The sequence below is a fragment of the Homo sapiens genome, chromosome 11 (assembly GCF_000001405.40).
Source record: "Homo sapiens chromosome 11, GRCh38.p14 Primary Assembly".
NCBI classification, from domain to species: Eukaryota; Metazoa; Chordata; class Mammalia; order Primates; family Hominidae; genus Homo; species Homo sapiens.
In genome coordinates this window covers 107,812,492-107,838,462 of record NC_000011.10, presented here as the reverse complement: position 1 = coordinate 107,838,462, position 25,971 = coordinate 107,812,492, and the positions used below count along the sequence as shown (strand labels likewise).

Here is a 25,971-nt window from a genome sequence, read left to right as displayed (position 1 = left end):
ATCCCAGCTACTCGGGAGGCTGAGTCAGGAGAATCGCTTGAACCCAGGAGGTGGAGGTTGCAGTGAGCCGAGAGTACGCCGTTGTACTCCAGCCTGGGTGACAAAAGCAAAACTCCATCTCAAAAGAAAAGAAACGAAAAGAAACATCATATATAAGTACTTAGTATGGCACCCACACACATTTATTTTTATTAAGCCACTTCACTTTTGTTGAGGTAAGAAAGGTTTTATGAATCCCTAATAAATGCAAGTAGTGTACTTGCAGTGTAACAGTGGTTATGAGCTCAGCCTCTGGAGCCACACTGCTTGGGTTGGTCTCCAGGTTCTGCCATTTGCTAGTTGTGTGATATTGGGCAAGTTACTTAACATCTCTGTGCCTCCATTTCTGTTATCTGTAAATAGCAGTAATAATGGTACCCATCTCAGGATTGTTGGGAGGATTAAATCAATTAGCGCTTGGTATATAGTATACACTCAATAAGTGTTAGATGTCATAATTATTATTACCATTACTATTACTAGATATTGTGAGACTATGTGTGTATAAGGTGGGGGTGGGTGGGTGGCAAAAAATCCATAACACGATGTCTGCATTTAGAATCTAGTAAAGCAAGTGGAACATATAAAACACTACAGGCAGAATATAGAAAATGGAAAAAGAGGATTGCAACCAAAATGTCATAGGAATTTAGAGGTCATCATTCTGGTAGTGGGTGCCTTTCTTACTATCTTTATTCCCACAATTAATTTACTTTTTTATTTTTATTTTGAGACAAACTCTCACTCTGTCGCCCAGGCTGGAGTGCAGTGGTGCCATCCCAGCTCACTGCTACCTCTGCCTCCCAGGTTCAACTGATTCTCCTGCGTCAGCCTCCCGAGTAGCTGGGATTACAGGTCTGTGCAACCATGCCCAGCTAATTTTTTTTTTTTTTTTTTTAGTAGAGACAGGGCTTCTCCATGTTGGCCAGGCTGGTTTCGAACTCCTGACCTCAAGTGATCCACCTGCCTCGGCCTCCCAAAGTGCTGGGATTACAGGCATGAGCTGCTGCTCCTGGCCTTATTTCAGTTTTTTAGCATGGCAGAATGTAAAGAACACAGGCTTTGGAATCATATTTGGATTTTAATCTAGTGCTGCTATTTATTTGGCACATAAACTTGGTTAAAAGACTTAAATGCTGCCAGAATGATACATATATAGTGTTGTATGAACATGCAGTATGTTAATATACGTAAGAGCTCATCAGTGGCTAGCACTTCCCTGTCTTTTATTATGTAGGGGATGGGACAGTACTAATGTGTCCCCTGTGTTCTTCACTAAGTCACATGGGACATAATGCATAAGAATAAATCACTGGATTTATACTTTCAATTTTTGTTGGTTTCCATGGAACTAGTTCAGCAGTTTCTGGCTTGATGGCCTGGTTTTATTTTCTCCCTGGCAAACGATGAAAGTGTTTCAATCCAAGGTAGCTCCCAATCAGCTTTGCCTGCAGTTTTTTAATAGACTCTTTATTTGATGTGATTATTTTGTTACTAAGGAAATTCGCTGAGATGAATGTAAATAGTTATAACATTATGATTCAAGTGTTGTTTTAAAGTATCACATGCATTGTTGACTTTGTATATTCGTTTTCTATTGCTGTCATAACAAATTACCACCAATTTAGTGGTTTAAAACAACACCAATTTAATATCTTACTGTTCTGTAGGTCAGAAAGCCAACATTCATCTTCCCGGGCTAAAAATCAAAGTGTTGCAGGTGTTGCATTCTTTTCTGGAGGTTTTAGGGGAGAATCAATTCCTGGCCTTTTCCACCTTCTGGAAGCTGCCTGCCTTCCTTGGCTTGTGACTTCAAAGCTAGCAACGTTGCATCTCTCTGAGCCTTCTGTAGTTATAGCTCCTTCTGACTACAGCTGGGAAACGTTTTTGCTTTTAAAGTCTCATGTGATTAGATTGGGGCTACCTGGTTAATCCACATCTACAGAAGTCCCTTTTGCCTTGTAAGGTAACCTATTCACAGGTTCAGGGGTGAGGGAGAGAGTGTGGACACTTTTGGAGGACCAGTATTCTTCCACCTACATTTAGTGGTAGAACCCAGAAATGATGCCCCCCACCAGACAAAAAAAAAGCTTTAGAGCACAAAGAAATAAGAACACCTAGATGTTGGTGAAAATGTAAGCAATAGTTCTACAGCTTTCTAGAGCTCATGAACAGCAGGGAAACAAAAAAGAAAAAGAAAAAATGTAAGTGATAATTCATAAAATGTCAAGGAAACCTTTACTCAACTTTCACCCACAATCTTTTACACATACTCAGTGTTTGAAATAATAAACCAATAATTGCTACTGACTGTTTAGGTTATACCACAGATTAGAAAAATACTGATTCCTTTGGATGAGCTGCATGTTCAGGCTCCATTCATGCTGGAGAATTTACAATGCTGTCCGCTTTGCTGGGATGACAATTCCTATAGCCCTTCTCTTGACCCAGACAACTTGTCTTTATTCTTCAAGTCAAGACCTTATGAATAAGGCTTTCCATGAATCCCAGATTTGGTTAGATCTCATCCTACCTTGTACATCTCTTTGTTCACCCTCACCACATTTGGAATTGTTGCTTTACTATTCTTCTTCACTGCTGTATTGTGAATTCCATGAGGACAGGGGCTCCGTTTCTCTGCTCCCATAGCTTGACACAGTGTTAGGATCTAAAAAAAACATGCTGAATTGAATTGGGTACCATTAAGGAGATGGTAATAAGAGTCATTGTGTTTGGGAGGCTGAGGCAGGCAGATCGCTTGAGTCCAGGAGTTCCAGACCAGTGTGGGGAACATGGTGAAACCCTGTCTCTACTAAAAATAAAAAAATTAGCTGGGCATGGTGGTGTACACCTGTAGTCCCAGTTACTTGGGGGCTGAGGTGGGAAAATCACTTGAGCCCAGGAGGCTGCAATGAACCCTGATTATGCCACTGCGCTCCAGTTTGGGCGACAGAAACCTGACCCTGTCTCAAAAAAAGGAAAAAAAAAAAGTCACTGTGGGCTATTGAAGCTGCCTTCCAGGTTCGGACTATTTCCACTAAGCAGGGAAGGGAAATTCGCACACATTCCAGTCTCTAGGTAAAAATCTTGAAGTGGTGTGCTACTGCAAAGTCCTCTCTTGAAAAAAGACACAGGTATAACCTCTGATTTGATTGTTTTGAGATAGATGACCTCCCGCAGACAAGGCTGCAGTTTACCAGGTGTACTGTGTTCAGCCTGTAGGTGTAGTTACCTTCAAATACCTTAAGTGGCTGTTTGCTCTTGCTCCACGCTTTTCTGTTTTTGCATGTGAGTGTGCGTGTTAATGATTTAAGGCATTGATTGTTGGCCTCTTTAACTAGCACCCGTTTGATTTTCTGCGTAACTCTCTCTCATTTTCTACAGGACTTGATATTGGTAGCTTTTATCTTATTGGCTATGGGATGATATTATGATGGTTTACAGTTGTCAGGTATTACAGGAGTTGTATATTTTGTATATTTCAGTAGTGTGGACAATATGATTGAAGTGTGTTAGGATATTTTTGCATACAGAATTCCAACTTAAATGTATAATAATTATAATTCCATAATAACTGAATCTGTAGTCATGCAATATGTTATGTATTATAAAATGTATGGAAAAATATACTTAGATATGAGTATATATGATATGAGTATATATGATCAGATAAAGTTTGGGCATTTATAGAGAGAAATCGCATTAGCCTGTATTTTTACGGCTGTGGAAATCTAGCCTGTGTTTTTGTAGCTTCATTCATTTTATTTTTCTTTGAGATGGAGTTTCACTCTTGTCACCTAGGGTGGAGTGCAATAGCGCGATCTCGGCTCACTGCAACCTCCGCCTCCTGGGTTCAAGTGATTCTCCTGCCTCAGCCTCCCAAGTAGCTGGGTTTACAGACATGCGCCACCACACCCGGCTAATTTTGTATTTTTAGTAGAGATGGGGTTTCACCATGTTGGCCAGGCTGTTCTCGAACTCCTGACCTCAAGTGATCCACCCACCTTAGCCTCCCAAAGTGCTGGGATTACAGGGGTGAGCCACCGCGCCCAGCCGCTTCATTCATTTTCGTCAACGTTTGGATGCATCCTCTATTTGGAATTTATTTTGTAATGCCTAACCTTGTTTTTACTCTAACTCGCTACTTTAAATTTTCCCTGTTTGTCTCTTTAATCACCTAGCCTTGCTTCTCCTGTAAATAAGACTCTCTAGCTGGGAAAGCCGGACAAACTCCAACTGACCCCTTAATTTACAAGACACTAAGGGCTCCTTACCCAATCCCCTTCCGCAAGGAGTTAACCTGTGTAAGTAGATCCTCAGCATTTCAAAGGAGCCCAATTAACTGATAAGGTACTGAAACAAACAATGTATGAAGTTCCCAGGATTTTACACAGAGATAACAACATAAAGCCTTGAGTCCGTGTCCGGCATAGCATCTATATCTAACTCTAATGAAAGATTTAGAGCCCCACACCTGGTTCCGTTGCTTTTTTGTAACCATTTGTCTTTTTAAATTGTTTATCTCTCTGTAACCATTTGTTTCTTTGATTCTTGCATGTTTTTACTTCTGTAGAATTATTGCATTTAACTTCCCCTCCCCTTCCTAAACCAAGGTATAAAAGTTAATCAAGCCCCTTCCTTGGGGCCGAGAGAATTTTGAGCGTTAGCCATCTCTTTGGCTGCTGGCTTAAATAAAAGACTCTTAATTCGTCTCAGAGTGTGGCGTTTTCTCTAACTCGCCTGGGTGTAACAATTTTAACAAGAGTCATGTAGGAGGGAACATGGTTAGCAAAAGCACTCTACTTAGTGCCAGTAGGTTTGTATTTTGCTCCTGATTCTGATACTTTTGAACAGCATCAGTTAGGCAACCCATTTCACCTCTCTCCTTTTTTTTTTTTTTTTTTTGAGACAGAGTCTCACTCTGATGCCCAGGCTGGAATGCAGTGGTGTGATCTTGGTTCACGGCAACCTCTGCCTCCCAGGTTCAAGCTATTCTCCTGCCTCAGCCTCCCAAGTAGCTGGGATTACAGGCATGTGCGACCACGCCTGGCTAATTTTGTATTTTTAGTAGAGACAGGGCTTCACCATGTTGGCCAGGATGGTCTTGATCTCTTGAGCTCGTGATCTGCCCACCTCAGCCTCCCAAAGTGCTGGGATTACAGTCGTGAGACACCGCATCCAGCCATTTCAACTCTCTTAGCTTCAGTTTCTTCATCTGCAACCACACAGCATTGGCAAATGGATCAAAAATAAAATAAGATAGGGTATAGAAGAGTTTTTGTAAACTGTGAGACACTATAAAAAACATAGACAAGGTATTCTGATGGCGTCCATTAGCATGAATGTAATAAGTAAATAAATAATACTTGATGATGATGGATGCCCCACTGGCAAGTCCAGGGAGCTTTAAGTCAGCAGTTTGGAAATCTCAAATTGTCAACAGAGGATCACAGACCAGAAGAGGTTGGGAGAGAAACAAAAGATGGAATGTGAGCTGCAAATCCAAATTAGCCACAAGGATTAAACATGAGGAGTTGAGGGGAAGCCTTCCAATGTTATATTTTCTTCTAGTCCCTGTACTTTCCTGACAGAATGTAGATTTTGTTTGTTTGTTTTTGAGACAGGGTCTCACTCTGTCACCCAGGCTGGAGTGCAGTGGCATGATCATGGCTCACTGCAGCCTTGAACTCCCTGGGGTCAGGTGATCCTTTCATCTCAGCCTCCTAAATAGCTGGGACTATAGGTGCATGCCATCATACCCGGCTAATTTTTGCATTTTTTTCTGTAGAGAAGGCATTTGATCATGTTGCCCAGGCTTGTCTTGCACTCTTGGGCTTCAGCAGTCTGCCCACCTTGGCCTCTCAAAGTGCTGGGATTACAGGCATGAGCCACCACACTTGGCTGTAAATAGATTTCTCATTGTTTGAAAACTAGTATGTACAGAATAAAAAGAAAATAACAAAAAATTTCCACAATCCCACCCAAATTATCTGGTTCTTTTAAGGTTTAGTCAATCAGGCAATTTGATCCATCAATCAATTCATCAAGTCATTGACTTCTAAACCCTCCCACTACTATCTTTTGGCTCCAGGCCTTTTCTTGTTCTCGTAGATTCAGAATAGAATAAACCAGTTCCGGGAACTAACAACATTGGGAATGCTCAGAGGTAGAAGCTGTCTTGATTGGAAATATCCTGAGTTACAACTAAAGTGACTGGATATAACCTAGTGGGTTACTTGCTGGATCTAGACCCATACTAAACTTGCTCTGCTCCAAACTTCTGTTGTATTGTTATAGAATACTGCAAAATTAGCTCACCCACCCCATCCTTTAGTCTAAGAAATGCAGTATAACATTTGGTGAAGATCAGCAGAAAAAAAAAATATTTTGCCAATTTCAGAAATGTCCCGCTCCATAAGAAACTATAACTGGTGTTATAATGTATAGGGTAATTTTTGGAAAAGCTTGCTTTATTGCTTCATTAAATAGTGAGACTGTGGTTTTGGCAAAACCTTATGAACATATTTCTAGAGTAGTAGATAAGAAGGCTGACACCTGAACCTCTTGATTCCTGTTCTTTGCCAGAATTTTCCAGTTCTCTTTGTCTGGAACATCATGATCAGTTCATTTGGTAGTGACCAGTCTCTGGAGAAAGTAGCTCTTGCTGTTCAAACTTACACTTACACTTGAAAAGAAAGGTGGTAGTTTTTAATGAGAATTGTCACTGCTAACTTTGACAGATGGTCACAAGACAACCATCTCAAAAGAAAAACCTACCTGGGAAATATAGGATTAATGTTGCTTGGTGTATCTAGAACAAGGGCAAAGAAATTACATGTCCCCCCACTTCACGAAGATAATTTTGTATCTGCCTTGCAACCAGATAAGATTGTCTTGTTGGTTGGGTGTGGTGGTGCACGTCTATAATCCCAGTGCTTTGGGAGGTCTAGGCATGAGGATCGCCTGAGGCCGGGAGTTTGAGACCAGCCTGGGCAACATAGTGAGTGAGGCCTTGTCTCTACCAAAATTTTAAAAATTAGCTGGGTGTAGTGGCATGTGCCTGTAGTCCCAGCTATGTGGTAGGCTGAGATGGGAGCAAATACTATCACCCTGTCCCATTCCAATGAGTTTTGCAACTTATTTTACACTTTTATTTTTAAGTTGAATGCTTCCTGATAATCACATTTGGGTTGACACATTTCCAAGTTAAACTGTAGATTGATTTCTTCTTGTAATCCATTTGTTCCTACTTGTTCCAGTTGAACTAACAGAGGTTTCAGAAAGGTCAGCTTTCTCCGGTGGCATTTTTTACCTTTGCAGCAATTGTGCCAGCCCGTATTGATTCATATCCTGGATAAACAAAGAGGAATATGACACTGTTTCTGTCTTTTAGGAGCTTGTGACCTACCTGGGTAGCCATATACATAGTAAGTAGAATACAGTGTGAGACATTTTATATTAGATCAGCAATCTTCAGGTTTTTCTTCCATTATGAACCCCTTTTATTATTATTTTTTGCCAGGAATCTTATGTTTTGAAAGATTTTGACACCCTTTCCCCAATACTCATTTGTTAAGTAATAATGAGTTTATTTTTTTCTCTCTCTCTTTTAACTAATCAGACACCTGAACTTCTGATTAGCAAGAGAAAATGATTGTTACCACACTTGGTTGATATAATTAGAGCTGAAGGCAAATACATGTGATGTTTTGGCTTGTCTGAACAGCCTTGGCATGGGTACATGTAGGGTTTCTGTTGGCTTAAAAAAAATTTTATGGGAACATTCAAATAAAAGTAGAGGCTGTTCTCTTTTTTTTTCTTTTCTTTTTTTTTTTTTTTTGAGACTGAGTCTTGCTCTGTCTCCCAGGTTGGAGTGCAGTGGCGTGATCTCGGCTCACTGCAAGCTCCGCCTCCCAGGTTCACGCCATTCTCCTGCCTCAGCCTCCTGAGTAGCTGGGACTACAGGCATCCACCACCATGCCCAGCTAATTTTTGTGTTTTTAGTAGAGATGGGGTTTCACCATGTTGGCCAGGATGTTCTCGATCTCTTGACCTCGTGATCTGCCCGCCTCGGCCTCCCACAGTGCTGAGATTACAGGCGTGAGCCACTGTGCCCAGCCAACAGTATTTTCTTCTTAGGATAATGTTTTTAAATGCATAAATATTAAAAATTATAATGGAAACCAATTGCAAAGATTTAGTTGTCAAATTATTAAAAAGCAAATTGGGATATATGTTAATATAGAGGCTTCTTTTCTTTAAAATTTACTAAGTAACAAAATATCACAATGAGTTTTTAATTACAATTTTTTTTTTTTAACTTTTATAGAGATGAGGTCTTGCTATTTTGCCCAGGCTGGTCTCCAACTTGTGGCCTTAGGTGATCCTCCCGCCTTGGCCTTCCCAACGTGCTAGGATTACAAGTGTGAGCCAGCATGCCTGGTTTACCATGATTTTGGAGTAGTGATGAATATAAATTTTATTTGAAATTTTAGCTATAGTAGCCATACGAAGTGAAAATATCTGTGAATTCTTTTGGCAGCAAAGTCTTAGGTCTTGCTAGCACCACTATAGTTTGTTGCCTATGTTTATAATTGAAGGGATTGTTAAATTTTAGTTCAATGTTACTGAAAATGAGGATATATATATTTTTTTCTACTGAAGTTCATAGACCCTAGAATATTTTCATGGACCTGGTCCATGTGCCCCAGGTTAAAAACTCTGTAGTCTTTTTTTTTTTTTTTTTGTGAGATTTCATAGGTATTATGTACTACCATCAAGAGGTGTCTTAATTTGTTTTTTGTTGCTATAAAAATATGCAAGACTGGTAATTTATACAGAAAAGAAGTTTATTTCATATAGCTCTAAAGGCTGGGAAGTCCAAAGATTGAGCAGCTGCATCTGTTTGGCTTCTGGTGAGGGCCTCATACTGTGTCATAGCATGGTGGAAGGCATCACAGGGCGAGAAGGGTGCACTGGGAGTCAAACAAGTTTTTTTTTTTTTTGAGATGTAGTCTCACTCTGTCACCCAGACTGTAGTGCGGTGGCACGATCTCTGTTCACTGCAGCCTCTGCCTCCTGTGTTCAAATGATTCTCCTGCTTCAGCCTCCCAAGTAGCTGGGATCACAGGCACCTGCCACCATGCCTGGCTAATTTTTGTACTTTTAGTAGAGATGGGGTTTCACCATGTTGACCAGGCTGGTCTCGAACTCCTGACCTCAGGTGATTGGCCCACCTCAGCCTTCCAAAGTGCTGAGATTACAGGTGTGAGCTTTTTTTTTTTTTCTTTTTTTTTTTTCCTACTGACCTCCTGCTCCAAGACAGTCTCACTCTGTCGCCCAGGCTGGAGTGCAGTGGCGTGATCTTGGCTCACTGCAGCCTCCTCCTGCCAGGTTCAAGCAATTCTCCTGCCTCAGCCTCCTGAGTGGCTGGGACTACAGGCGTGCACCACCACTCCTGGCTAATTTTTTGTATTTTTAGTAGAGACAGGGTTTCACCATGTTGGCCAGGCTGGTCTCGAACTTCTGGCCTCAAGTGATCTGCCCACCTCGGCCTCCCAAAGTGCTGGGATTACAGGCATGAGTCACTGCGCCCGGCCGGGATTAAGTTTCAGCATGAGTTTTAGAAAGGGCAGATATTCAAATCATAGCAGGAGACATATAATTTTTTCTTGTCTCTTTCTTTTTTGTTGTTAGGAGCTATTGATGTTTTGTCTAGATCCATTATTTTATTAGGGCTCCTAAAGTGATATTTTATTTGTCATCCCATCTTAATTCATTATACAGACTATTTCCACAAGGACAAACTCCTTTTCATCAACTCTTTGATTACCCTGAGGTATAATTTGTATAAGAAGGGCAGGATAAACATTAATTCATTTCTTTTATTCACTAGTCTTCAAAATAGTAAGTTCATTCCCTAGCACCCTCCAAAGAAGACCAGCAAGTTAAAAAAAATTTTTAGTATTGCTATTTTTTTTTTTTTTTTTTGAGATGGAGTTTCGGTCTTTAAGGTAGGCTGGAGTGCAGTGGTGCGATCTCAGTTCACTGCAACCTCCGCCTTCCGGTTTCAAGCGATTCTCCTGCCTCAGCCTCCTGAGTAGCTGGGATTACAGGCTCCCGCCACTGGCACAGCTAATTTTTGTATTTTTAATAGAGACGTGGTTTCACCATGTTGGCCAGGCTGGTCTTGAACTTCTGACCTCGTGATCCACCTGCCTCAGCCTCCCAGAGTGCTGGGATTACAGGCCTGAGCCACTGTGCCCAGCCAGTATTGCTATTAACTCATGGATTTAAACATTTGAGGTGTTTCAGTCCATTGCAGTTATTCTTCCCAGTGCTAAGAATTTATTTTTGTCATAGATTCAATCCTTAGTTTTCTTGCTATTTGGTGTGACAAGATGTTTCAGGCTTATTTTGTAAATTTCCTGCCCCAGGTCTGAAATCAGCCGTTCTCCAAAAAGCTCTAGTTCTTTTTATTTTTGTTTACTTAATTAATTAATTTATTTATTTTGAGACAGAGTATTACTCTATCGCCCAGGCTGGAGTGCAATGATGCAATCTCGGCTCACTGCAACCTGTGCTTCCTGGGTTCAAGTGATTCTCCTCCCTCAGCTTCCTGGATAGTTGGGATTATGGGTGCTCCACCACGCCCAGCTAATTTTTTTTTTTTTTTGAGACAGAGTCTTGCTCTGTCGCCCAGGCTGGAGTGCAGTGTTGCGATCTCGGCTCACTGCAACCACTGCCTCCTGGGTTCTAGTGATTCTCTTGCCTCAGCCTTCCGAGTAGCTGGGATTACAGGTGCATGCCACCATGCCCGGCTGATTTTTGTATTTTTAGTAGAGATGGGGTTTCGCCATGGTGGCCAGGCTGGTCTCGAACTCCTGAGCTCAGGTGATCCTCCCGCCCCGGCCTCCTGAAGTGCTGGGATTACAGGCGTGAGCCACCACATCCAGCCATTTTTGTATTTTTAGTAGAGATGGGGTTTCACCCTTTTGGCCAGGCTAGTCTTGAACACCTGACCTCAAGTGATCCACCCACCTTGGCCTCGCAAAGTGCTGGTATTACAGGTGTGAGCCACCACGCCCAGCTCCTAGTTCTTTTTAGTGGGAGGTAGTATTTAGTTGCCATTATCTAGGCACTAGGGGTGTTCATAATTAATGGATTAGTCATTGTTTCAGAGCTTTTTAGGGGAAAGAGATAGGATATATATATGTATATGTTATGAAATACTCATGACATACTACGAAGTACTCATGAGTCAATTGTACCTTTCAGTAAAGTTCAAAACTATAAGGTTTTTAACTCAACCTCTTCAATCTTACATCTTCATCTTTTTTCTATATATCCCAATGAATACATCAATATTCATATTGTATATGTATGTATATACGATATTCATATATCAATATGTATATACAATATTCATATTGTAGGGGGACATAGCACTGAAAACCAGAAGAGGTTAAAGGGGCTTCCATCAATATAATTTTCTTATTTTCTGTATTCCACAGTATTTGTAAATACTCCCAGAATAATATCAACACCATATCAAAACAGTTTAAGCTATTGTACAGTTCTTTTTGATCCTATGGTATATTTTATTAGGAGTGTACTATCAAATTAGTATATTTTAAAGTCCCTTGAAATAATTCCTGTCAGGTTTTGCTACCAATTTTTAAAACATCAAGTTTATTTTAAATTTTATTTTAGATGTGGCTTTTTTAAATTTAATTTTTGTTTTACATAATTATAAGTTATGTAACATACTTACATGGCCTCAAAGGCAAATCTATAAAACAAGGTATAGTCAGACATACACCTTTTACTTTGCTCCCTCTGCTGTCCTCCCTATACACAACTTTTAAAAAGTTTTGTTTTGGCTGGATGCAGTGGCTGATGTCTGTAATCCCAGCACTTTGGGAGGCCAAGGAGAATGGATCACCTGAGGTCAGGAGTTCGAGACCAGCCTGACCAACATGGAGAAACCCTATCTCTACTAAAAATACAAAATTGGTTGGACGTGGTGGCACATGCCTGTAATCCCAGCTACTTGGGAAGCGGAGGTTGTGGTGAGCCCAGATCGAGCTATTGCACTCCAGCATGGACAACAAGAGCAAAACTGCATCTCAAAAAAAAAAAAAAAGTTTTATCTTTCCTTTTAAAAAATTAACAAATTATAGATAAATATTTGCATTCCATACCCATTTTTCTCCACATTTGCTTCCTTTTTAAAAAAGGTATACCTGGCAGTCACTTTATAACAGTACATATAAATATGTGCCTTGCTTTTTATAGCTGTACAGTAGTACTCCTGTGTGTTTATTCAGCTAGTCTCCCATTGTTAGACATTTTGTTTTTTTCCTTTAGTCTTTTGCTAGTATAAATAGTGCTGTAATGAATAGCTTTGTAAATACACCTTTTTGTATTTTTGCCAGAGTTGCCTTGGGGTAGATTCCTTGAGACAAAATTGCTAGAAATTGTCAAATCAGCACCCCCAAACTCTCCCGCTGAAATAGAGATTTATTATTTTACGCTTTTACCAGCAACAGTCAGAAGTACTGTTAAGTTTTTGAAGTGTCAAAAACAGATCCTGAACAGCCCATGGATTGCATTCACTTCTTCCACGGATTCCTAAAAGTTGAGAGACCTCAGAATCAGAAGCATTGCTGTAGACCCTTGCTCACTCAAAGTCTGGTCCGTGGACCAGCAGCATAAGTATCTCCTGAGAGCTTCTTAGGAATGCGGAATCTCAGGTCGGGCGCGGTGGCTCACGACTGTAATCCCAACAACTTTGGGGGGCCGAGGTGGGCGGATCACGAGGTCAGGAGTTTGAGACCAGCCTGACCAACATGGTGAAACCCGTCTCTACTAAAACTACAAAAATAAGCTGTGTGTGGTGGCAGGCGCCTGTAATCCCAGCTACTGGAGAGGCTGAGGCAGGAGAATCACTTGAACCCAGGAGGTGGAGGTTGCGGTGAGCCGCGATCGTGCCACTGGACTCCAGCCTGGGCAACAGATCGAGACTCCATCTCAAAAAAAAAAGAAAAAAAAAAAAAAAAAGAAAGAAATGCGGAATCTCAGGCCTCTCTCCAAACCTACTGAATCAGAAGCTGCACTTTAACAAGAGCCTTAGATGATTCATATCACATGAAAGTTTGAGAAGCACCAGGCTAGGGCTGTGTTATTCAATACTATAACCCCCAGCCACATGTGGTTATTTAAATGAAAATGAATTAAAATAGAATAAAACAAAAAATTCAGTTCCTCATTTATACTAGCCACATTTGAAGTGCTCAAGAACTACTTTTCAAACATTTCCATCGTTGTGGTAACATCTACAGTATTGCACAATGCTGATCCCTGGCTTCACTGTCTAATTTGGTAGCCATTCTCCATATATGGCTATTTTATTTAAGTTGAAACGAAATTACATTAAACATTCAATTCCTCATTCACATTAGCCATGTTTCAAACACTCAATGGCTGCATATAGGTAGAGGCTACTCTATTGGATGGTGCATATATAGAGCCATGTTTCAAACACTCAATGGCTGCATATGGGTAGAGGCTACTCTATTGGATGGTGCATATATAGAATAGACAGGTATGGTCAAGAGGTTACCAAAAGACAGGGCGAGCCAGAGGAAGGAAGGAAATAAAATGCACTCAGTGCCTCAGGTGGGTGGATGTGCTAGGTACTTTTATAGGTTACATCAATTAACCCTTAGGCGCATAAAGGTGGTATTACACTCACTTAAAAAAGACATAAGAGAACTACCTAACACTAATAAAGAGTAGAGTTAGATCTTTGGATTCAAAGACTAGGATTCTTTCTGCTATGTTCAGAAGGAATAATCTTTTCTTGAAGGTCACATCCAAATTGCACTCTCTACTAGCCTTTTCCAGAACAGCACATGGTGTGAACCACTGTTTTCACTTGCCTGTACCTGTTTCTCCTCTCTTTCATGTTTCAAATTTAAATCCAGAACCCAGTTTTATCTAACTCTGGAGTTTGTATTTTTTCCACTGTAACATTCATTGAGTTCACTTTTGAGGGCCTCTTGTCTACAGTATTGTCTGCCTTGCATTTTAACATGATGCCATCTTCATAATAGTGCATTTTTTGTTAATAAACATTTACTGAGCACCTATTCCGAGTAAGACATCATCCAGTGAGCAAAAAGAAAACACTGATTTCCTTTCTTTTACTTGCCTTCTTTGTGAGGTGATCATATACACCAATACACTATCTATTTTTTAAAATTTGACTTTTTTAGCTACTTTGAGTTTTGAATATGACTAACAGAATGTAGGTTCTTCACAATTGCAAGCTACTCATGCTTACTAGAATTAGATGATACATTGATGGCTAAACTTTTGAATCGTAGGACTATGGAGATGGAAAGAAAACAGTTCATCTTGGCTGCTACTCACTATGTAAAGAAAAGCTACTTATAATTTATTTCTTTTCTTTTTTCTTTTTTTTTTTTTTTTTGAGACTGTCTTGTTATGTCGCCCAGGCTAGAATGAAGTGGCATGATCTTGGCTCACTGCAAACTCCGCTTCCTGGGTTCAAGTGATTCTCTTGCCTCAGCCTCCTGAGTAGCTGGGACTATAGGTGCACGCCACCACACCTTACTAATTTTTGTACTTTTAGTAGATATGGGGTTTTGCCATGTTGGCCAGGCTGGTGTCAAACTCCTGGCCTCAAGTGATCTGCCCACCTCTGCTTCCCAAAGTGCTGGAATTACAGGTGTGAGTCACAGTGCCTGACCAAAAACTACTTATAATTTATTTCTAAACATGCTTCCGATATAATTTAAAATGCTTTAGAAATAGAAACTGGGTAGCTTATGTGCAGAGTGCGAGAACTTGGCCTAAATGTATATTTCTTTTTGGGTTCATAATAGGATTTTTATAGACGTACTGGAAGTTATTATTCTTTACCAGGTATTTACAGGTGGCAGATGTAATGGATTTTAAAATCTCCCCCAAGTAACTATGTTCCATAGGAGTCTTAGCACTAATATGAAATCCTGCCTTTAGCTGACAACATGCAACCTAGCAGCACAGATTTATTGAGACATAAAGTGAAGGGAATGCATAATTTGCATTCAAATAATGCATCTTATCGGTCACTTGGAACTCCTTTTTTTCAAATAAAAAGAAAAGAATAATTTAGTGGTTTGCCGTCCTGATCATGTCTTAGACTCATCTGGGAGACTTAAAATAGGCTGATACTTGGAATCTACCCTCTGAGAATCTGATCCAACTGGTTTGGGCTGGGGTCTTGTTGTCAGTGTTATTTTTAAAGCCCAGTGATTTTTAAATATATAATCAGTAGAGGACTGCCTATCTAATTTGAAATAGTAAATAAAGAAGAGCTAAAGAAATGAATGCATCTCATCATTGTGTCTCATATATATATTATATATATGTGTATATGAATGCATCCCATCATTGTGTCTCATATATATATATAATGTAAAACTAGTGTTTAAATTAGGCACAAACTTGTATTATGGCCTTTCCTGCATTCCTCAATCTTCCTAAAATACCTTTCAGGTGTGTGATTGTTTTGACTCCTCTGTGAACCTTCTCCAGGACATCTTGAGCTTTCCTTCTCCTTGGCTGCATGCACAACTCTTATTTTAACCCTTTCTCATTTTATTGTGGTTTTGTGTTGTGAGGTCTGTCTGACTCCTCACACAGAAAACTTCTGAGGTTGTTCAACAATAGCAAATACCCTATTTGCCAGGCACTATTAATCATGGAGAATATAATGTCCCTTTCCTCCTGGAGCTTAGAGTTTTGGGGAAAGAACAGTGTGTGGTGGGTACTGTGATGGAGGGTTGTGGTATTTTGTGGGGGCACACAGTGGAGCTCCCCGATGTGTTCTGGGGAGAAGAAAGAGGGTCTGGGACTAGAAAATAGGTGAGTCTTAATTCTAAATTCCTTGTGCTTGGCACATATTAACAACCATTGAACTTTGGTGAATATATGACTGAGGAGCTTACTGACTGAAGATGTAAATAAAAATATATTTTCATTGGAAATCAGGTACATAAGTATCTATTTTGGAATGGAAGGGAGGTTACGATATACATTTTAAGTTTCCTAGAAGAAAGAAGGAGTGAAGTAAAGTGCCACATGATCTTTTCTTCTTTCATTCCTTAAATTTTTTTTTTGAGACGGAGTCTCGCTTTGTTGCCCACGCTGGAGTGCAGTGGTGTGATCTGCAGCCTCTGCCTCCTGGGTTCAAGTGATTCTCCCGCTTCAGCCTCTCGAGTAGCTGGAATTACAGGCATGTGCCACCACACCCAGTTAATTTTTTTTGTATTTTTCCAAAATATATGGGGTTTCACCATGTTGGCCAGGCTGGTCTTGAACTCCTGACCTCAAGTGATCCGCCTGCCTTGGCCTCCCAAAGTGCTGGGATTACAGGCATAAGCCACTGTGCCTGGCCTCATGCCTTAAATTCTTAAAGTTATAAAATAGATTCTAATAGTAATGTGGTTGGAAGTGACCTTACTCAGCCCATCTTCTACCTGTTTGTCCACTCCTGCCCTCAGTGATCCATAACTCTTGTTTGCTGTGTATTCTGGTAGCCTGGCCCCCAGTGTGAAGCTGCCTTGGGGAAATTTGTCTTGGAGTTGGATCATATCCTGCCATTGAAGTTCATTTTAGTGGAGGTTCCGTTAGTAAAACCGGGACAGGATATATCCCAAGGTCAGATGCATGTTTCTTCTGGCAGCTTTGCTTAAACAGGAACAGGTTTTGTTATGGTATAGAGGGTTCCTCTGTTCAGAATTCACATGAACCAGGACCTTGTACAAATTTATACAAACATGAAAGTGGAGCTATAAGTAACAAAAATTGTTTTGAGGCCTTCAGTGTCTATAAGTTTGAGTGTTCTTGTCTTCTTTCTTCCTTTGCTCAATTTCCTACCCCCTCCCCGCCAGCTTTTCTCTCTCACTCTTGCTCTCCTACTCCTCTATTATAGATGAGGTCATTATGATTTGGAGCCAAGAGAAGTGCATTCCTGTAACTTTAAATCTCCATACTCAATTTGTGACTCTCCTTTTTTTAGAAGATAGTTTTACTTTATAGTTGGAGGACAGCTTGCTTAATTGTGCTATTTTAGAATGCAGATATGAGCTTACTGTAGGAATTCTGTCAATTTGTGAAGAGGGCTTAATGCTTCCACACTTTTTATTCTCACTTATTTCAGATTTATAATTGCTTTCAAGTCCATTATGAGATGTGAAAAATGCTCTCAATTTGATTAGGTTATCAGCCACTTGGTTAGGGTTTCTGTGCCTGGTACTTTGGACATCCAACTCCCCCATGATGTACAGGGAAGCAGTGTGACTACTGGGAGGAGAGAGATCAGGCCAGGTTCCTTCTTTCCTGACAGCAAGGCGAGGTACAGGGATGCTTTGAAGAAGGGTGTTTTGTTTTGTTTTGAGACAGAGTCTTGCTCTGTTGCCCAGGCTGGAGTGCAGTAGCGCCATCTCAGCTCACTGAAACCTCTGCCTCCCAGGTTCAAGCAATTCTCCTGTCTCAGCCTCCCAAGTAGCTGGGATTACAGGCGCCTGCCACTATGCCCAGCTAATTTTTGTATTTTTAGTAGAGACGGGATTTCACTATGTCAGCCAGGTTGGTCTTGAACTCCTGACCTCAAGTGATCCGCCCGCCTCAGCCTTGCAAAGTGGTGGGATTACAGGCGTGAGCCACTGCGCCCAGCCTGAAGGGGTTTTCTAATATAAACTCTGTTATAAAATCATAATGGAGAGATACAGGAGGGGAAGAGAGGGATGAGGGGAAGGACAGGAAGGAGAAAGAGATATAGAACGTAGGAAGATACCAACTGTGAGGGATGACCCACCTGTTATCCCAAGACTGTGTGCTGTAGGAGGGATAGCAGATGTTTAATGGCCAGGAAATTTGGGCATTAACACTGCTCCTGTGTGATCTTAGGCAAAACACTACTCTCTTCTGGGCCCCAGTCTCCTTGATTAAAGTGGGTTAGTGCCAAGGTTCTGCAATTCTGAGACTTCCAGGGAAGAGAGGAAGTTTCCTTAGAGCCCTCTCTCCCTCCCTCCTTCCTTCCTTCCCCTCCCTCCCTTTCTTTTCTCTCTCTCCCAATTTTTTTTTTTTTATTTTTTGGGCAAACTCTCACTCTTTTGCCCAGGCTGGAGTGCAGTGGTATGATCTCGGCTCACTGGAACCTCTGCCTCTCAGGTTCAAGCGATTTTCCTCCCTCAGCCTCCGAGAAGCTGGGATTACAGGCGTGTACCACCACACCCAGCTAAATTTTGTATTTTTAGTAGAGACTGGGTTTCACCATGTTGACCAAGCTGGTCTCAAACTCCTGACCTCGGGTAATCCATCCGCCTTGGCCTCTTAAATTGCTGGGATTACAGGTGTGAGCCACCTTTAAGCAAATTTGAATCCTGTGATCTGGTCTTTTAATAGGAGCACTGATCTCTTCTGCCTTTTACGGACAGTATGACAATGGGTGAATTCTGGACCCACTCTGAGTCATCTTCTCCATCTGTAACATGAGTGCAATAGTACTTTTCTCAGGGCTGTTGTCAGGATCATGTTATTGAGATTGTGAGCTGTGATAGGTATTAATTGAACAATGAAATATAGGGAAATCGGAACCATTTCCTCAGCCAGGTACCTCTCCCCACATGGTTCCTGAGAGAAGCATATGGCTGGGAATAATGACACAAAATGAATGAACTTTTTCAGCCTTTGGCTTTGGCCCCACATTCCTGGAGACTCCTGGTGCACTATACCGGACTAAGTGGTGAATTTCCTTTGTCTAGGATAGGGCAGCCTCAGACCCGAATCAATGCAAACCATGACTCCTTCAAGAGGAAGTGTGCACAAGAGAAGGAGATAGCAACTCTGGATCTGGTTTAGCTCATCAGCTGGTGCCTGGTAGAGCATGCTTAGAAAGAATGCTACCTGTAGGGGAGGAAATCCTTAACGTTTTGCTCATCTTGGTGAAAATTTCCTCCAGTAACCTAACACAGTGTCCTTGGATTTGGCCAGTTCTTGACATCATCACCTTCCCTTTGGAGAGTGGAGATTCCTTACTTTTGAGAGTACCAGACTCAGCTACATGAAGTAATATAACCCTTTGGAGAGCAATCTAGGAAAACGAAACTGAAGATGCTCATGCCCTAAGAACAAACACCATCTCGTCCAATTCTGTTCTTGGATATATCTCCAGAGCAAGTGATTCCTTTAAACTTTACTATAGAAATAGAAAGTCATTATATTTGTAGGACACTCTGAGTTTCCTGCTCCCAGCAGAATGCAACTGGCTGGAATCTCTCCAGATGCCTTAGATGGCTCCCATCAGGTCATCCTGAGTACTGAGGAGATTAAATCTCAGCATATCTATAACCACCCCCCCACTTTTTTAAAATAGAGACAGGGTCTCTCTTTGTTGCCCAGGGTGGTTTTGAACTCTTGGGCTCAAGCAATCCTCCTTCCTCAGCTTCCCAAAGTGCTGGAATTACAGGCGTGAGCCACCACGCCTCACCATCTGTAATCCATTTCTACCACCTGGCTAAAAACTAGAAAAAACTCTTAGAAAATTACATCAAGAGACATATGAAAACAAAAAAGAAAAAGGAATACAACCAAAATATTCATCAACAGTGGAATGGATCAATAAAGCATGATGTAGTCATGTGGTAGAGTACTATACAGTACTGAAAAGGAAGAACAAGAACTCATGTATCAATATGGATGGCCCTCTCAAACCATGTTGATCAAAACCACAATTGCAGAAGTATATACAGTATGATGCCGCCTGTATAAAATTTTGAAACAATACTATTTGTTGCTTAGGGATACTTACATAAATATTAAAATATGTAGAAAAGCATGAAAATAATAAATACTAAGTTCTAATTAGTTACCTCAAGAGGGCTAAGAGATTAGAGAGAACACAGGTGGGATACCTCGATGTTGCCAAATGTTTCTTTTCTTTTTTTCTTTTTTGTAGTGGTATGATCTCAGCTCACTCTAACCTCTGCCTCTTGGGTTCAAGCTATTCTTGTGCCTCAGCCTCCCCACTAGCTGGGATTACAGGCGTGCACTACTGTGCCTGGCTAATTATTGTGTTTTTAGTAGAGATGGGGTTTTGGCATGTTGCCGAGCTGGTCTCAAACTCCTGGGCTCAAGTAATTCACCCGCCTCAGCCTCCCAAAGTGTTGGGATTACAGGCGTGAGCCACTATGCCCAGCTGACAATTGTTTCTTTTTCTTTCTTTCTTTCTTTCTTTCTTTCTTTCTTTCTTTCTTTCTTTCTTTCTTTCTTTCTTTTTTTTTTTTTTTTTTTGAGACAGAGTCTTGCTCTGTCACTCAGGCTGGAGTGCAGTGGCACGATCTCGGCTCACTGCAAACTCCGCCTCCCGGGTTCAAGCGATTCTCCTGCCTCAGCCTGCTGAGTAGCTGGGACTACAGGTGCATGCCATCACACCCGGCTAATTTTGTATTTTTAGTAGAGATGGGGTTTGACCATGTTGGTTAGGCTGGTCTCGAACTCCTGACTTTGTGATCCGCCTGCCTCAGCCTCCGAAAGTTGCTGGGATTACAAGCGTGAGCCACCGTGCCTGGCAAATTGTTTATTTTTTGAGGTGATAGATACACGGATACATGTTGATTATACATTATACATACTTTGTTGTGTGTTAGATAGAAGAAATAGTAAAAATTAAAAATGAAATAAGCTGTGAGAGTAGTTCAAGGTGAGGCTGGAGATTCAGAGGGTGGGTTGCCTGTAGGCCATTTTAAAGTGTGGCTTTCACCTAAGGCCAGAGAGGAACCAGCCACCGAAAGGTTTTAGACATGAGAAATGATCTCATCATATTAACACTCAGAACATCACTCCTGCTGCAGTGTGGAGACTGGATTTGGGTAGAATGAGAGTAGGATAGGAAGAATGCTTAGAAAAAGTTTCCTCTTTGAAACGCCATCTTCTCTAGGCCTCCAGATTGTTTCTTCCTTCCTAGTTCTCCCTTTACTTCTCTGGCCATGCCCTCTTATCTCCATCTCTAATGAGTCTTTCCCGTCCAGCTCTTTTCTTTTCTTTTTTTTTCTTTTCTTTCTTTCCTTTCTTCCTTTTGTCGTCTCATTCTGTCACCCAGGCTGGAATGCAGTGGTACAGTCTCGGCTCACTGCAACCTCCGCTTCCTGTGTTCAAGTGATTCTCATGCCTCAGCCTCCCGAGTAGCTGGGATTACAGGCGCCTGCCACCACACCCCGCTAATGTTTGTAGTTTTAGTAGAGACGCGGTTTCACCATGTTGGCCAGGCTGGTCTCGAACTCAACCTCAAGTGATCTGCCTGCCTCGGCCTCCCAAAGTACTGGGGTTACAGGTGTGAGCCACCGCACCCAGCCTCTCCAGCCCTTTAAATATTGCTGTTTCCCACAGTATTTCTTTTTTGCTCTTTTCTTCCCAATTTTTAGTTATACGCCTTAGTGATCTCATTATGTTCCCACATTCAGCCACCACATTTATGCTCATGATTCTCAAGTTTATTTCTCCAATCCAATCCTTTCTTCCAGCTCCAAGCTGCCTACTGGACATTTCTTCTTGGCTGTCTCATAATTAAACAAAATCCAGCATGTCCAAAATGGAGCTATTATCTTTTCCAAATATGCCTTTTCCTTCTGCATTTAGGATCTTGGTTAACCATATTGCTATCTATCCAATTATCTGATCCAGAAAATACGTATTATTTTAGCCTCTTCTGTCTCAGTCAACTTGTTTCTTTAATTAGTTTCCATGTTAGAAATGCAGGGTAAGGGCCAGTCACGATGGCTCACCCTTGAAATCCTAGCACTTTGGGAGGCTGAGGTGGGAGGGTCCCTTGAGCCTAGGAGTTTGAGACCAGCCTGAGCAACATAGTGAAACCCCATCTCCACAAAAAAAAAAAAAAAAAAAATTAGCTGGGCATGGTGGCATGTGCCTATAGTCCCAGTTATTTGGAGGCTGAAGTGGGAGGATTGCTTGAGTCTGGGAGGTCAAGGCTGCAGTGAGCTGTGATTGCACCACTGCACTCTAGCCTGAGCAATAGAACAAGACCCTGTCTCAAAAAAAAAAAGTCATACACACACACACACACGTGCGCACTTTACAAAGTATATGTTATAGCTGAGTAATCAAAATGATCTCTAAATGGATGTTCAGTGAAATGGGGGAATATGCTTTTGTGGGAATGGAGGGGATCAGAAAAATAGAGAATAAAAATGTAGTCCTTCAGTAACTAACATTTTAATTTTTATTTCATGAAATGAAGAACCACCTGGAATAATTAGCATTTCCCTTTGTGTTTAGCAGTGTGTGTGTGTGTGTGTGTGTGTGTGTGTGTGTGTGTAAGGTATAACTTATTTGCATGCTGTTCTGATTTCTTCCCTTATTTTCTAGGAATATTTTGAAAACAATTGCCCTGGGTCAGATGTTGTCCTTGTGTATATGTGGGACAGCCATCACCAGCCAGTATTTGGCAGAAAGATACAAAGTGAACACCCCCATGCTTCAGAGCTTTATCAATTATTGCTTGCTGTTCCTAATTTATACAGTGATGCTGGCATTTCGATCAGGTATGTCAAATGTGGAAATTATCTTTTCAACAAAATTATCTTCATAAAAATTACTAGAAAAGTATGACACCTCTAAATTCTGTGAAAGTAGTGACTGGAGACTTATGCACAATTCTCTGAAATTGTTGATTAAAGTAAGTAGCACCATACTGTTTGTAACACAGAAGTTGTCCAAAAAAAAAGTGTTTTTTTTTTTGTGTGTGTGTTGTTGTTGTTGTTGTTGTTTGTTTTTGAGACAGGGTCTCACTCTGTCACCCAGGCTGGAGTGCAGTGGTGCAATCTCGACTCACTGCAGCCTTGACCTCCCAGGCTCAAGTGATCCAATTACCTCAGCCTCCCTAGTAAGCTGTGACTACAGGAGTGTGCCACCATGCCTGGCTAATTTTTTTTTTTTTTTTTTATTTTAGAGATGGGTTTTTGCCATGTTGCGCTGGCTGGTCTCTAACTCCTGGGCTCAAGTGATCTGCCCACCTCAGCCTCCCAAAGTGCTAGGATTTCAGGTGTGAGCCACTGGACCCAACCTAAAAAGTGTAAATGTCATTACAAGTTAGGTTTCCCCCCCAATTTTAAAAATATTTTAAAATATTAAGATGATATTAAAAACACTTAAAGTCAAGAACCTTACTCTCCAAAATATTTACTTCCAACTAAATAAAGATGGTAAATGGAACGTCAGTTGCACGTGTAGCTCAGGTCTCTCTCTCTTTTTTTTTATACAGAGTCTCACTCTGTCACCCAGGCTGGAGTGCAGTGGCACAATCTTGGCTCACTGCAACCTCCGCCTCCTGGGTTCAAGTGATTCTTGTGCCTCAGCCTCCTGTGTAGCTGGGACTACAGGTGCACACCACCACACCTGGCTAATTTTTGTATTTTTAGTGGAGTCCGGGTCTTACCTTGCTCCTAACCTCAAGTGATTCACCTGCCTTGCCCTCCCAGAGTGCTGGGATTATAGGCGTGAGCCACTGTGCCCAGATAATTTTTGTATTTTTTGTAGAGACAGGGTTTCACCACGTTGCCCAGGCTGGTCTCGAATTCCTGAACTCAAGTAGTCCTCCCACCTTGGCTTCCCAAAGTGCTGAGATTACAGGTGTGAGCCACTGGGCCCAGCCAGATACATTGTTATTAACCAAAGTCAATAATTTACCTTAGGGGTCGCTCTTGGTATTGTGCATTCTATGGGTTTTGACAAATGTACAATGCATACATTTACCATTACAGTATCAAACAGAACAGCTCCACTGCCTTAAAAATCCCTCTGCTCCACCTATTCATTCCTCCCTCCCTCCCCACAAACTCCTGGTAGCTGCAGCTTCTTCTTTTTTTTTTTTTTGAGGCAGAGTCTTGCTCTGTCACCCAGGTTGGAGTACAGTGCAGTGGCGTGATCTTGGCTCACTGCAATCTCTGCCTCCTGGGTTCAAGCGATTCTCTTGCCTCAGCCTCCCTAGTAGCTGGGATTACAGGCACGTGCCACCACACCTGGCTAATTTTTATATTTTTAGTGGAGATGTTGGCCAGACTGGTCTCGAACTCCTGACCTTACGTGATCTGTCTGCCTCGGCCTCCCAAAGTGCGGGGATTATAGGTGCCTGTCCAGCTTCATTATTTTTTAAAACTTTAGTTTAACCCTTTGTTGTAAAGGGGTTTGAAGGTCTGATTCTAAGTTTACTACTTGCTTTTGAATCGTGTGGCTGACATAGCAGAAGAAAAAGCCTTGCAAAGGTTAGTGAATCCAGTGAACAAGGACAGCACTGTGCACACTTAGGAAATTAGAGTAATTTATTTCATCCCATGCACCAGCTATCTAAAAGTCTTTATTGAAATTTAGGGCTGGGTGTGATGGCTCACACCTGTAACCCCAGCACTTAGGGAGGTCAAGGTGGGAGGATCACCTGAGGCCAGGAGTTCAAGACAAGCCTGGGCAACACGATGAAACTCCTTCTCTACAAAAAATACAAAAATTAGCTGGGCATGATGGCATGTCCCTGTAGTCCCAGCTACTTGGGAGGCTGAGGTGGAGGATGGCTTGATCCCAAGAGGCTGAGGTTGCAGTGAGCCAAGATCACACCACTGCTGTCAAGCCCAAATGACAGACCAAGACCCTGTCTCCAAAGGAAAAAAAAGAAGAGTTGGGAGTGGAACTGTACATGGTTAATAACCCTGGACTTTGCTCTTTGTGGAAGCATTGGCCTTCAGGAATTTGGTGAGACTCCCAAATGTATCAGTGCAGTTAGTCTCCCTAAGGGATGGTTGTTAGGTGCTTCCTATGCCATTTGATGCTGAGGAAGACTAATTCTGTGTTTTTGTTTTGTTTTTTGTTTTTCTTCTGAGACGGAGTTTCGCTCTTGTTGCCCAGGCTGGAATGCAGTGGCACGATTTCAGGTCAATGGCACAATCTCGGCTCAGTGCAACCTCTGCCTCCTGGGTTCAAGCGATTTTCTTGCCTCAGCCTCCCTAGTAGCTGGAATTACAGGCACCTGCCACCACGCCCAGCTAATTTTTGTATTTTTAATAGAGATGGGGTTTCTCCATGTTGACCAGGCTGGTCTCGAACTCCTGACCTCAGGTGATCTGCCCACCTCAGCCTCCCAATGTGCTGGGATTACAGGTGTGAGCCACCGCACCCGGCCTAATTCTGTGTTTTCAAGATGTTCCTGCTAACTGGATTTTACTGATAATTATTTGGTTATGATTCTCACTACTTTTATTTATTTGTGAGTTATCTTGCCATAAAACCTTCTCATATATGTGCCAACTCTGCATCTCCTGTGATGACAGATTCTCCAAAGTAGTGAATCCAATTAATTTGAATACATATAATTTGGAGGAATAAAAGGTGTTTCTTCAGTGTGCACTAAGCCTTTTCTCAAGCTTATCGAGGACTTAATTTTCACTTGAAAGCACACCTCTTCCAAAAGAATGATCACCTGCAGACTTTTCTTTGAAGAAGCCCATGAATAGAAGTTAAATAACCAATTAATTTCTAGGAAAACATTTCATTTCCTAGGATAGTCCGTGGCTTGTCAGAAGTGGCGACATACAAGCTCATATCCAGAAATTTTGTTTCTGTTATGATAGGAAAGGGATTTTAAAAAAAAACTATTTTATTTTTTTAAGTTCCAGCATACATGTGCAGAATGTGCAGGTTTGTTACATAGATAAACGTGCCATGGTGGTTTGCTGCAGCTATCAACCCATCACCTAAGTATTAAGTCCAGCATGTATTAGCTCTTTTCCTTAATGCTCTTCTCCCGCCCTGCCCTCCCTCTTTTTTTTCTTAAAGAGGTGGAGTCTCATTATG

At 41.5% G+C, this 25,971-nt stretch overlaps 1 protein-coding gene across 2 annotated transcripts in view, besides 4 other annotated features; it reads left to right on the top strand.

The window, feature by feature from the left end:
- SLC35F2 (solute carrier family 35 member F2) overlaps positions 1–25,971 on the top strand; it is a 67,797-nt gene that overhangs the window by 20,325 nt on the left and 21,501 nt on the right. For both annotated transcript variants that reach the window (NM_017515.5, XM_047427146.1), the window contains exon 2: positions 22,498–22,673. In NM_017515.5, coding sequence (NP_059985.2) covers positions 22,498–22,673 — 176 coding nt within the window. The remainder of the gene's footprint in view (positions 1–22,497; positions 22,674–25,971) is intronic.
- Positions 4,609–5,154: an enhancer, noted in NCBI's record as "NANOG-H3K4me1 hESC enhancer chr11:107704035-107704580 (GRCh37/hg19 assembly coordinates)". NCBI's record gives its function as "activates a minimal SCP1, AML or CMV promoter by ChIP-STARR-seq in naive and primed H9 embryonic stem cells {active_cell/tissue: H9 hESC(naive and primed)}" and the evidence as "EXISTENCE:reporter gene assay evidence [ECO:0000049][PMID:30033119]".
- Positions 5,155–5,700: an enhancer, noted in NCBI's record as "H3K4me1 hESC enhancer chr11:107703489-107704034 (GRCh37/hg19 assembly coordinates)". NCBI's record gives its function as "activates a minimal SCP1, AML or CMV promoter by ChIP-STARR-seq in naive H9 embryonic stem cells {active_cell/tissue: H9 hESC(naive)}" and the evidence as "EXISTENCE:reporter gene assay evidence [ECO:0000049][PMID:30033119]".
- Positions 5,701–6,246: an enhancer, noted in NCBI's record as "H3K4me1 hESC enhancer chr11:107702943-107703488 (GRCh37/hg19 assembly coordinates)". NCBI's record gives its function as "activates a minimal SCP1, AML or CMV promoter by ChIP-STARR-seq in naive H9 embryonic stem cells {active_cell/tissue: H9 hESC(naive)}" and the evidence as "EXISTENCE:reporter gene assay evidence [ECO:0000049][PMID:30033119]".
- Positions 12,497–12,996: an enhancer, noted in NCBI's record as "H3K4me1 hESC enhancer chr11:107696193-107696692 (GRCh37/hg19 assembly coordinates)". NCBI's record gives its function as "activates a minimal SCP1, AML or CMV promoter by ChIP-STARR-seq in naive H9 embryonic stem cells {active_cell/tissue: H9 hESC(naive)}" and the evidence as "EXISTENCE:reporter gene assay evidence [ECO:0000049][PMID:30033119]".